Source organism: Homo sapiens, chromosome 18 (genome assembly GCF_000001405.40).
Source record: "Homo sapiens chromosome 18, GRCh38.p14 Primary Assembly".
NCBI classification, from domain to species: Eukaryota; Metazoa; Chordata; class Mammalia; order Primates; family Hominidae; genus Homo; species Homo sapiens.
In genome coordinates, this window is record NC_000018.10 from 45686454 (window position 1) to 45699251 (window position 12798).

The 12798-nt window shown below is 44.8% G+C and overlaps 1 long non-coding RNA gene across 1 annotated transcript in view; it reads right to left on the reverse strand.

Annotated features, from left to right (window-relative positions):
* LOC105372093 (uncharacterized) overlaps positions 1-12798 on the reverse strand; it is a 176501-nt gene that overhangs the window by 80118 nt on the left and 83585 nt on the right. The window contains exon 7 of the long non-coding RNA XR_935423.3: positions 5942-5987. This is a non-coding gene — a long non-coding RNA (uncharacterized LOC105372093). The remainder of the gene's footprint in view (positions 1-5941; positions 5988-12798) is intronic.

A 12798-nucleotide genomic window follows, 5' to 3' on the forward strand; every position in this document is an offset into this window, starting at 1 on the left:
GGCCTCAACCTCAAAGATTTGGATTCACTAGAGCCGGGTGGAACCAAAAATCTGAGCTTCTAACAAACTCCCAGATGATACAGATGCGGCTGGATCCAGGTCCAGAGATCGTTGCACAGGTTCTTACTCTTGGTTAGATCAGGATCCTCTGATTCTGATGCCAGGCCCTACCTCAGGCCAATTAAGCCAGCAATGGGCCTGGGCACAGGTAATTTTTTTAAAGCTCCTGGGGTGATTCTAACATGCAGCTGGGGCAGGAAAACAACGGTGCTGCCTATTTCTTGGACCCCAACTGTTTCTAATTTGAGTCACTCTTCAGCACTCCGTTAAACCCCAGTCCCCATCCTCAGTTCCCAGGTGGGTTTGCATAAGGGGTAGTAGACCTGCCAGGAGATGCAGTGAGAAGCACTGAGCACTGAGGCAGGAGGAGCACAGACAGCACAGAGAATCCTCTAAAGTGAAGTTTCTCTCTTTCTCACTGTTGTTGGGGACTCACCCTGCACCACAAAGAAGACTAGATAAAGAAAACCACTAACCAGTAACATCCGGCTCAGTAGGCTGAGCACAAAAGCAAGGTTTTGCTTTGGCCCTAGACCTAGAAGCCTGCTGAGTGAGCGCCTTGGCCCTAGAAAAGAGGAGCAGGGGGTTGTCCGGAGCCCCTCCGACCACGCTGCTCTCAGTCAGGCACCACAGACACAGGCAGAGCTGGCTAGAGGTCAGAGGCATGGCCCCAGTGAGAAGCAGCAGCTGTGCCCTGTGAGCAGGTAGGATGGGGTTAAGGGCTGGCCTGGAATGGGGGCAGAAGGTGGAAGTTGGGAAATGGTGATGACAGCAGTTATTGCAAGGGGGCAAGCCAATGGGCAGGCAGTGGGCGTAGAAAAGCAGCTCCACTGAGACAGCCATGCAGGGAGCCCTGTGCAGGCAGACAGCTGTGGTCAGGGGTTAAAGAGGTGGAGAAAAGCAGAACATGGAGCCATGTAGAGAGCAGGTGCTGGCGGCCAGCTGGTACTGTAACAGGAAGAGTGCAAAAAAAAAAAAAAAATAGCAGTTTTTGCCATGGGGTGAGGCTCCACCCCTCTTTGAACTGTCTGGTGGGGCCAGGGCTGGGGCTGGGAGAGGGATGGGGTGGCTTTCACTCCTCTCCCCAGTGCTTGCTTCTTGATGGGTCAGTCTGGGTCACTAGGGTCCACCTGTCTCTTACGGCATGGCCTGAGCAGTAGTTTCAAGGGGTGTCATGGGGCGGGGAGGTGGGCAAGTCGGGCAGCAGAGCATTACAAACCCTGGGGCCCAGGCAACAGCCCAGACTAGCTCTATCAGAACCTTAGGGGCGGCCCAGGCCGGGGTGGTTGCCAAAGCTCCCCAGGGGGCCCCATCAGTAGAAGGTGTGGGGGCTGCTCGGTGCTGTGCTGTGCTGCTCTGTGCAGGGCTGCAGGGAGAAGATTCTCTAGAGAGCTCTCAAGTGGGAGGAGCCCCAGGCAGCATGATTTTGTCAAATGGAGATTGTCTCTGTCCCTGAGGTCAGAGGAGGGCTGTAACCATACAGTTCTTAACCTCTGGATTTGGACAAATGTAAGCTGTGTTCCTGGCCCCTCTAAAGACCTGTGAATCCTATTCTGCTCATCTGTGTGTAGTTCTTGTTTTTAAGCTTCCAGAGAGACACTGATTCCTAGCTAGTTTCTAACCCTAGCATACAGCAAGATGGAAAGCTCAGGACACAAGATTAAAGTGACAGCCTGGAGGGCAGGACAGGGAGTCTGGGCTGTGGCTGGAGCACCCATCACCATTCCTGGGCCACAAGCCGCCTTCAGGGACTGGCTTCCTGTTCTCCCAGGCCCCGCTGTGGCTCCTTGGCCTTAGCCCCAGGTTCTCAACATGAACAGACTGTGAACTCCTTGTGAACAGCGATGAGTTTTGTACATTCCCCTAACTGGGGCCTCTCTCCCGCAGTGAATGAGTAAGTGACAGACACAGTTATACTAAAGTTATAAGTTATGTCCAGCAAAAGAGAGGCATTGCCTTCTCTGTTGTCATCTGTCCTCCCATCAGTGTCTTGCAAGTCTTAATAGCTTTTGAACAAATGAATCATATTTACATTTTGTACTGGGCCCCATGAATTACGTAGCTGGTCCTGTGCTGAGCTCTTGGTGGCAACTGGAGCTTGCTCTCCCATGGCTGCAGCATCAAAGATCCCCCTGGGCTAGTTCTCTGCTTTCAAACTCCTTCCTCACCCATGACAGCATGAGACAGCAACACAACACCCCAATATACACAGAGCCTCACTTGTGGGGTACTCACTTGACAAGCACCCCAGGGAGCAAAGGAAGTGCAGAGAGAGGTGGCACCTTCTATCCTGAAGACCCAGCACACCCAGGCTCCATGGTGCAGGGACTGGAACAAACCAGGAAGGCACCCCACAACCAAAATATTTGTAGATTTTCCAGCTGGAGCAAAGGAAAGACCCAGACAGATCCCTACTCATAATCAGCTCATGAAACGCCCTACTGGAGAAAGGCAGAAAGAGTAGCTGGCTTTTTCCCCATCCCTGCATACTCCCCTGGGTGCTCTTTGAATCAATGTTTAGCCGGATTTCACCCAATCATGAGCGTGTGAGTGGGGAGCACCCCCATGACTTGGCTTCCTGCCCAACACATCACACCACAACCTGTGAATAACTCATCTTCCCCAACACATTATAACCTCTGAGGGGCCAGATTATGTATTTTCATGGCCCCCATTCCAGGCCTGGCACGTGGATACATATTTACTGACAGATGGACCCCTACTTCAGCATCCCTGTAAGCCTGGAATTAATTCCAGGAGGTGGGTACTAAGCAAGATAATGTTTAACCAAAATGCAGATTCTAGCACCTCCCCTGAACCCTAAGATATTGGGATTCAGTAAGTGATGGGGTATCTGCATTTTTACCTGCATCGCAAATGACTTAAGAAGGCCAATTCTCCTGGCTATCTGAAGAACTGAAGGAGGTGGGTAGACAGAGGGGGTCTCAGCACAGGAATTTGAGTAGAATTCACGTAGAAGCCCAGGACATGATTGCATGAGTGGCCATGGGTCAGTGTGCAGCTTGCAAATCCAGTCACTGTAAGGCCTTATCCTAGAAAGGCCCTGACGGGGACTGGGGTTGCGGGGGTGGGGATTGAGGCAGGTGGCTACCATCTGTCAAGAGCAGCAGCAGACCTGCAGCTGGCTCCATGGCTTCTGTGGCCCATGCCCACCCTCCCTCCTTACCATCACAGCAGTCGCCCAAATGGCTCAGAGAGGAGCTCATGGGAACCCCACTTACTGTTGACACTGGGGGAAAAGAATGGAAATATGATTTGGCATAACTTGAGGGACGTATAAATGGTTTGTGCCTTTCACACCCCAAAAACTTCAATTTACCTCCCTCATGAATGTCTTAGAAGCTTCTGCATTCTTTAAGAAAACTCTAGTTTTTACATAAATTTAATATTGACCATATAATTCAACATTCAATTTTATGTTATCTGGTATCACCTGCCACCTGGGTGGAGGGTCTTATTTGCTCAGCAAGATGGGAAACTCTAAAGTCAAAGACCTCATCTTATAATTACTTGAACACAACATACTTTGGAGACCAAACATATTACTGAGCACAGGATATCCGTGCTGCTTGATTCACTTACTATTTGAACTCCTGGTTCTGAGACTGTTATCCGAGGAGAATAAAAGGGTGCTGGATGGGCTTCCATGGAGAGATGGAAACTGTCTGAGTGTTAAGGGCTCAGGCTAGGGAGGAGACAAAACTCTTCTTCTGAAAGTTTCATAGCTTTAGCTCTTATATTTAGGTCTTTGATCCACTTTGAGTTATTTTTTGTATATGGTAGTAGAGTCCCCAATCTTCTGCAAGTGGATATTCAGTTGCCCCAGCACTATTTATTGAAAAGACTATTCTTTTTTGCATATGGGATTGTTTTTCAGAATCCAGAAAAATCTTTAGTTCACATTCCTCTTGCTTTAAGGTAGTATTTCCATAACTCATCAGTCATGGATCTTAAATACATATCCAAAAGAAAAAATTTTAAATAAGAAAAAGTCACATGATCCAATGAGATCCAGGTACATTAAGCCAAATAAAGTTTAACATCTTTCATTAGCATTGGCTTCTCAAAGACTTTAATGCCAGTGTGCTTTTAATGAATCACTTATCCTTCTTTTATCAGAGAAGGGCGTGTGTGTGTGTGTGTGTGTGTGTGTGTGTGTCCACATATTAACATCTCTACGAGTACACTTCCAAACACCTCGAGTTTTGGAATCATTCTTTTGCAAGAGTAGACTTACTGACTTGAATGCTATTGGATTGTTTTAATTTCATCTTGGAGAGTTCGGCTAACAGGATGGTTGGGGTGTGTGTGTTTTGTAGACTTGTAGCTTTTATCTTCAACCAGGTCAGAGCAGAAATAACACAGTAACCTATGAATTCCTCTGGGGTGTTTTTTAGCAACTGAATGTAGAAGCCACAATTTTAGTTTGTTTCTGAACTGTCCATTTTTTTAAACTTAAATATTAAGGTGTGTGTTGTTGTTTTGTTTTGCTTTTTGAAAGTGTGGTCCAAGAACCACCTGAATCAGACTCACTTGGATGTAGTTAAAAAGCGCAGATCCCTAAGGCCCCTTCAGACCTAATAGTCAGAAACACTGGGGCTGGAGCCCAGACTGCACCCCTCCCCCCGCCCCGCCCCGCCCAGGATCCCTGGTGATTCCTGTGCATATCGAAGTTTGAAAAGCATGCTTTTCCTTGAAATTAAGAGACAGTGAACCCAGTTGTCTGCAAAGAGATAGGGGACAGAAACTTACATGTACCTAGGACGAAGATGGCTCTTTCTGTACCTTTGTCCCTTCCCTTCATCTGCACTGCCCACCTTCTGTGCCCTTTTGCATGCTCACACATCCTTCTGTATGATCAACGGACTTGGGCACGCTGCACACTCCTTGGCTTATGAAACTTTCACACTGTCAGCAGAGGGCGCCAGAGACCCTCCAAAAGCCACGGAATGCTCCATTTGCTCGTTGCCCTCCTTTTGCATTCCAGGCTTTTGCATTCTATTCTAGGCATCTAGTTTTCCAGGCTTAGGCCTGTCCCCCACCTCACTGATTCTCAAAGGGACATTGGATCTCAGGAGAGTGCACAGCTTCTAAGAAACGCACTTATTGTGGGGCCTGGAAATTTATTTAATGCCTCTGAGCCCAAATTTCACATCCTAACAAGGAACTAATTTATTAGCCTGTTACTGTAGTTCTTTTAATGGTTAAATGAGGTAACAGGTGAATGTGCCCATGAAGGTCAGCAGCCCAGTGACTGCCAGCACCCTGCCACTGCCACCACTGGTGCAAGTGTAAGCATGGACACTGGCAACCCTGCTCCCACCTGCACCCTGCCACAGGTACAAGTGCACACAGGAATGCAGCAGCTCGACTTCTGCTGGTACCCCAACCCCACCAAGGCATAAGCACCCTGCGGCGCTGCCACAGGTGCCAGAACACGTGAGTGAGCACAGATCCTGCTGCCACCGCCCCAAAGAAGCACTTTGTCTGGCACCACCCATCAGAGGGTTGTGGCTAATGGACCAGGAACACCTTGGACCCTCTGATGCAGCAGGTTCCCAATCTCACGGGGCCAGATAACAAAGCTGGGGTCCTGGTACCAACTCCCCAGACTTAGAGTCCACCAGGAGTGCTGAGCTGAGCCGTGGCCCCTAAAATCTTCCAGAAATGAACCCAGTCAACTGAACCTACCTTATACTGCAATGAAACCCCCAAGGGCAGCAAAGAAGAGAAAAGCAAAGAAAAAAACATGCATCGAAAGGACAGCAACTTCAGAGGTTGAGGGAACATCATCCCACACAGATAAGAAGGAATCAGCACAAGAACTCTGGCAACTCAAAATGCCAGAATGTTTTCTTACCTCCAAATGACCACACAAGTTCCCCAGCAATGGTCCCTACCTGGGGCTGAAATGACAGAAAAAGAATTCAGATTACCGACAGGAACAGAGAACATTATCATTGACATCCAGGAGAAAGTTGAAACCCAATCCAAGGAATCTAAGGAATATAATAAAACAATACAGGAGATAACATATGAAATGGCATTTTGAGGAAGAACCAAACTGATCTGATAGACCTGAAAAACTCACTTCAAGAATTTCATAATACAATCACGAATATTAACAGCAGAATCAACCAAGCTGAGGAAAGAATCTGAGAGTTTGAAGCCCAGTTCTACAAAATAGACAAAAATAAAGAAAAAACAATAAAGAAGAATAAACAAAACCTCCGAGAAATATGGGATTATGTAAAGAGACCAAATCTACAACTCCCTGGCATCCCTGAAAGAGAGAAAGAAAGAGAGAGAGCACGCACATGAGAGCGAGCAAGCACAGATCACAAGCAACTTGGAAAACATTTAAGGATATCATCCATGAAAATTTCCCCAACCTCACTAGACAGGCCAATGTTCAAATTCAGGAAATGCAGAGAACCCTTGCAAGATACTATACAAGATGACCACCCCCAAGATACATAGTCATCAGATTCTTCAAGGCCAAAATGAAAAACAAAATGTTAAAGGCAGCTAGAAAGAAGGAGCAGGTCACCTACAAACGGAATCCCACTAGGCTAATAGTGGATCTTTCAGCAGAAGCTCTACAAGCCAGAAGCAATTGGGGAGCCTGTATTCAGCATTCTTAAAGAAAATAAATTCCAATCAAGAATTTTACAGGCAGTCTAACTAAACTTCATAAGCAAAGGAAAAATAAGACCCTTTTTAGACAGGCAAATGCTCTTGGAATTCATTACCACCAGACCTGCCTTACAAGAGATCCTTAAGGGAATGCTGAATGTGGAAAGGCCATCACTGGCAACTGCAAAAACACATTTAGGTACTGAGACCATTGACACCATAAAGCAACCACACAATCAAGTCTGCATAATAACCAGCTAACAACAGAATGCCAGGATCAAATCCACACATATAAATATCAATCTTGAATGTAAATAGGCTAAATGCCCCAATTAAAAGGCATAGAGTAGCAAGCTAGATAAAGAAGTAAGACCAAAGTATATGCTGTCTTCAAGAGACCCATCTCACATGCAATGGCATTCATAGGCTCAAAGTAAAGGGATGGAGAAAAATCTACCAAGCAAACAGAAAATAGAAAAAAGCAGAGGTTGCTATTCTAATTTCAGATAAAATAGTCTTAAAACCAAAAATAATTTTAAAAAGACAAAGAACATTACATGATAGTAAAGGGGTTCAATTAACCAAGAAGACCTAACTATCCTAAATAGACATGCCCCCAACACAAGGGCACCTAGATTCATAAAGCAAGTTTTTAGAGACCTATGAAGAGATTTAGATAACTGCACAATAATAGTGGGAGACTTCAACATCCCACTGAAAGTATTAGACATACCATCAAGGCAGAAAACGAACAAAGACATTCAGGACTCAATCTCGACACCTGACCAAATGGGCCTAACAGACATCTACAGAACTCTCCACCCAAAAACAGCAGAATATACATTCTTCTCAGCTGCACATGGCACATACTCTAAAATCAATCACACAACCAACCATGAAACAACCCTCATCAAATTCAAAAAATCCGAAATCATACCAAACACATTATCAGATCACAGAGCAATAAAATAAAAATCAATAGGGGCCAGGTGCAGTAGCTCACACCTGTAATCCCAGCACTTTGGGAGGCTGAGGCAGGTGGATCACCTGAGGTCAGGAGTTCAATACCATCCTGGCCAACATGGTGAAACCCTGTCTCTACTACAAATACAAAAATTAGCTGCATGTGGTGGCACACGCCTGTAGTCCCAGCTACTCAGGAGGCTGAGGCAGAAGAATTACCTGAACCCGCGAGGCAGAGATTGCAGTGAGCTGAGACTGCACCACTGCACTCCAGCCTGGGTGACAGAGCAAGACTCTGTCTCAAAAAAAAAAAAAAAAAAAAAAAAAAACTACTGACATGAAGAGCCAAGATGGCCGAATAAGAACAACTTCAGTCTACAGCTCCCAGTGTGAGCGACGCAGAAGACGGGTGATTTCTGCATTTCCAACTGAGGTAGCAGGTTCATCTCACTGGGGAGTGTCGGAAAGTGGATGTGGGACAGTGAGTGCAGCGCACCGAGCATGAGCCAAAGCGGGGCAAGGCATTGCCTCACCTGGGAAGTGCAAGGGGTCAGGGAATTCCCTTTCCTAGTCAAAGAAAGGGGTGACAGACAGAACCTGGAAAATCGGGTCACTCCCACCCTAATACTGTGCTTTTCCAAAGGTCTTAGCAAACGGCACACCAGGAGATTATATCCCGTGCCTGGCTCCGAGGGTCCTATGTCCATGGAGCCTCACTCATTGCTAGCACAGCAGTCTGAGATCAAACTGCAAGGCGGCAGCGAGGCTGGGGGAGGGGCGCCCGCCATTGCTGAGGCTTGAGTAGGTAAACAAAGCAGCCGGGAAGCTGGAACTGGGTGGAACCCACTGCAGCTCAAGGAGGCCTGCCTGCCTCTGTAGACTCCACCTCTGGGGGCAGGGCATTGCCAAACAAAAGGCAGCAGAATCCTCTGCAGACTTAAATGTTCCTGTCTAACAGCTTTGAAGAGAGTAGTGGTTCTCCCAGCATGCAGCTGGAGATGTGAGAATGGACAGACTGCCTCCTCAAGTGGGTACCTAACCCCCGAGTAGCCTAACTGGGAAGCACCCCCCAGTAGGAGCAGACTGACACTTCACACGGCTGGGTACTCCTCTGAGACAAAACTTCCGGAGGAACGATCAGGCAGCAACATTTGCTGTTCACCAATATCCACTGTACTGCAGCCTCCACTGCTGATACTCAGGAACAGGGTCTGGTATGGACCTCTAGCAAACTCCAACAGACCTGCAGCTGAGGGTCCTGACTGTTAGAAGGAAAACTAACAAACAGAAAGAACATCCCCACCAAAACCCCATCTGTATGTCACCATCATCAAAGACCAAAGGTAGATAAAAGCACAAAGATGGGGAAAAAACAGAACAGAAAAACTGGAAACTCTAAAAAGAGTGCCTCTCCTCCTCCAAAGGAATGCAACTCCTCATCAGCAATGGAATAAAGCTGGATGGAGAATGACTTTGACAAGTTGAGAGAAGAAGGCTTCAGACGATCCAACTACTCCAAGCTAAAGGAGGAAGTTCGAACCCATGGCAAAGAAGTTAAAAACCTTGAAAAAAAATTAGATGAATGGATAACTAGAACAACCAATGCAGAGAAGTCCTTAAAGGACCTGATGGAGCTGAAAACCAAGGCATGAGAACTATGTGACGAATGCACAAGCCTCAGTAGCTGATGTGATCAACTGGAAGAAAGGGTATCAGTGATGGAAGATCAAATGAATGAAATGAAGTTAGAGAGAAGTTTAGAGAAAAAAGAATAAAACTAAACGAACAAAGCCTCCAAGAAATATGGGACTGTGTGAAAAGACCAAATCTACATCTGGTTGGTGTACCTGAAAGTGACGGGGAGAATGGAACAAAGTTGGAAAACACTCTGCAGGATATTATCCAGGAGAACTTCCCCAATCTAGCAAGGCAGCCCAACATTCAAATTCAGGAAATACAGAGAACGCCACAAAGATACTCCTCGAGAAGAGCAATTCCAAGACACATAATTGTCAGATTCACCAAAGTTGAAATGAAGGAAAAAATGTTAAGGGCAGCCAGAGAGAAAGGTCGGGTTACCCACAAAGGGAAGCCCATCAGACTAAAAACTGATTTCTCAGCAGAAACTCTACAAGCCAGAAGAGAGTGGGGGCCAATATTCAACATTCTTAAAGAAAAGAATTTTCAACCCAGAATTTCATATCCAGCCAAACTAAGCTTCATAAGTGAAGGAGAAATAAAATACTTTACAGACAAGCAAATGCTGAGAGATTTTGTCACCACCAGGCCTGCTCTAAAAGAGCTCCTGAAGGAAGCACTAAACATGGAAAGGAACAAACAGTACCAGCCACTGCAAAAACATGCGAAATTGTAAAGACCATTGAGGCTAGGAAGAAACTGCATCAATTAACGAGCAAAATAACCAGCTAACATCATAATGACAGGATCGAATTCACACATAACAATATTAACCTTAAATGTAAATGGGCTAAATGCTCCAATTAAAAGACACAGACTGGCAAATTGGATAAAGAGTCAAGACCCATCAGTGTGCTGTATTCAGGAAACCCATCTCACATGAAGAGACACACATAGGCTCAAAATAAAGGGATGGAGGAAGATCTACCAAGCAAATGGAAAACAAAAAAAAGGCAGGGGTTTCAACCCTAGTCTCTGATAAAACAGACTTTAAATCAACTAAAATCAAAAGAGACAAAGAAGGCCATTACATAATGGTAAAGGGATCAATTCAACAAGAAGAGCTAACTATCCTAAATATGTATGCACCCAATACAGGAGCACCCAGATTCATAAAACAAGTCCTTAGAGACCTACAAAGAGAGTTAGACTCCCACACAATAATAATGGGAGACTTAACACCCCACTGTCAACATTAGACAGATCAACGAGACAGAAAGTTAAGAAGGATATCCAGGAATTGAACTCAGCTCTGCACCAAGTGGACCTAATAGACATCTACAGAACTCTCCACCCCAAAACAACAGAATATACATTCTTCTCAGCACCAAACCACACTTATTCCAAAATTGACCACATAGTTGGAAGTAAAGCACTCCTCAGCTAATGTAAAAGAAAAGAAATTATGACAAACTGTCTCTCAGACCACAGTGCAATCAAACTAGAACTCAGGATTAAGAAACTCACTCAAAACCACTCAACTACATGGAAACCGAACAACCTGCTCCTGAATGACTACTGCATACATAACGAAATGAAGGCAGAAATAAAGATGTTCTTTGAAACCAGCGAGAACAAACACACAACATACCAGAATCTCTGGGACACATTCAAAGCAGTGTGTAGAGGGAAATTTATAGCAGTAAATGCCCACAAGAGAAAGCAGGAAAGATCCAAAATTGACACCCTAACATCACAATTAAAAGAACTAGAGAAGCAAGAGCAAACACATTCAAAAGCTAGCAGAAGGCAAGAAATAACTAAGATCAGAGCAGAACTGAAGAAAATAGAGACACAAAAAACGCTTCAAAAAATCAATGAATCCAGGAGCTGGTTTTTTGAAAAGATCAACAAAATTGATAGACCACTGGCAAGACTAATAAAGAAGAAAAGAGAGAAGAATCAAATAGACGCAATAAAAAATGACAAAGGGGATATCACCACCAATCCCACAGAAATACAAACTACCATCAGAGAATACTATAAACACCTCTACGCAAATAAACTAGAAAATCTACAAGAAATGGATAAATTCCTCGACACATACACCCTCCCAAGACTAAACCAGGAAGAAGTTGAATCTCTGAATAGACCAATAACAGGCTTTGAAATTGAGGCAATAATTAACAGCTTAGCAACCAAAAAAAGTCCAGGACCAGATGGACTCACAGCCGAATTCTACCAGAGGTACAAGGAGGAGGTGGTACCATTCCTTCTGAAACTATTCCAATCAATAGAAAAAGAGGGAATCCTCCCTAACTCACTTTGTGAGGCCAGCATCATCCTGATACCAAAGCCTGGCAGAGACACAACAAAAAAGAGAATTTTAGACCAATATCCCCGATGAACATTGATGCAAAAATCCTCAAAAAATACTGGCAAACCGAATCCAGCAGCACATCAAAAAGCTTATCCACCATGATCAAGTGGACTTCATCCCTGGGATGCAAGGTTGGTTCAACATACACAAATCAATAAACATAATCCAGCATATAAGCAGAACCAACAACAAAAACCATATGATTATCTCAATAGATGCAGAAAAGGCCTTTGACAAAATTCAACAACTCTTCATGCTAAAAACTCTCAATAAATTAGGTATTGATGGGATGTATCTCAAAATAATAAGAGCTATCTATGACAAACCCACAGCCAATATCATACTCAATGGACAAAAACTGGAAGCATTCCCTTTGAAAACTGGCACAAGACAGGCATGCCCTCTCTCACCACTCCTATTCAACATAGTGTTGGAAGTTCTGGCCAGGGCAATCAGGCAGGAGAAGGAAATAAACGCTATTCAATTAGGAAAAGAGAAAGTCAAATTGTCCCTGTTTGCAGATGACATGATTGTATATCTAGAAAACCCCATCATCTCAGCCCAAAATCTCAAGCTGATAGGCAACTTCAGCAAAGTCTCAGGATACAAAATCAATGTGCAAAAATCACAAGCATTCTTATACACCAATAACAGACAAACAGAGAGCCAAATCATGAGTGAACTCCCATTCACAATTGCTTCAAAGAGAATAAAACACCTAGGAATCCAACTTACAAGGGATGTGAAGGACCTCTTCAAGGAGAACTGCAAACCACTGCTCAATGAAATCAAAGAGGATACTAACAAATGGAAGAACATTCCATGCTCATGGATAGGAAGAATCAATATTGTGAAAATGGTCATACTGCCCAAGGTAATTTACAGATTCAATGCCATCCCCATCAAGCTACCAATGACTTTCTTCACAGAATTGGAAAAACTACCTTAAAGTTCATATGGAACCAACAAAGAGCCCGCATTGCCAAGACAATCCTAAGCCAAAAGAACAAAGCTGGAGGCATCACGCTACCTGACTTCAAACTATACTACAAGGCTACAGTAACCAAAACAGCATGGTACTGGTACCAAAACAGAGATAT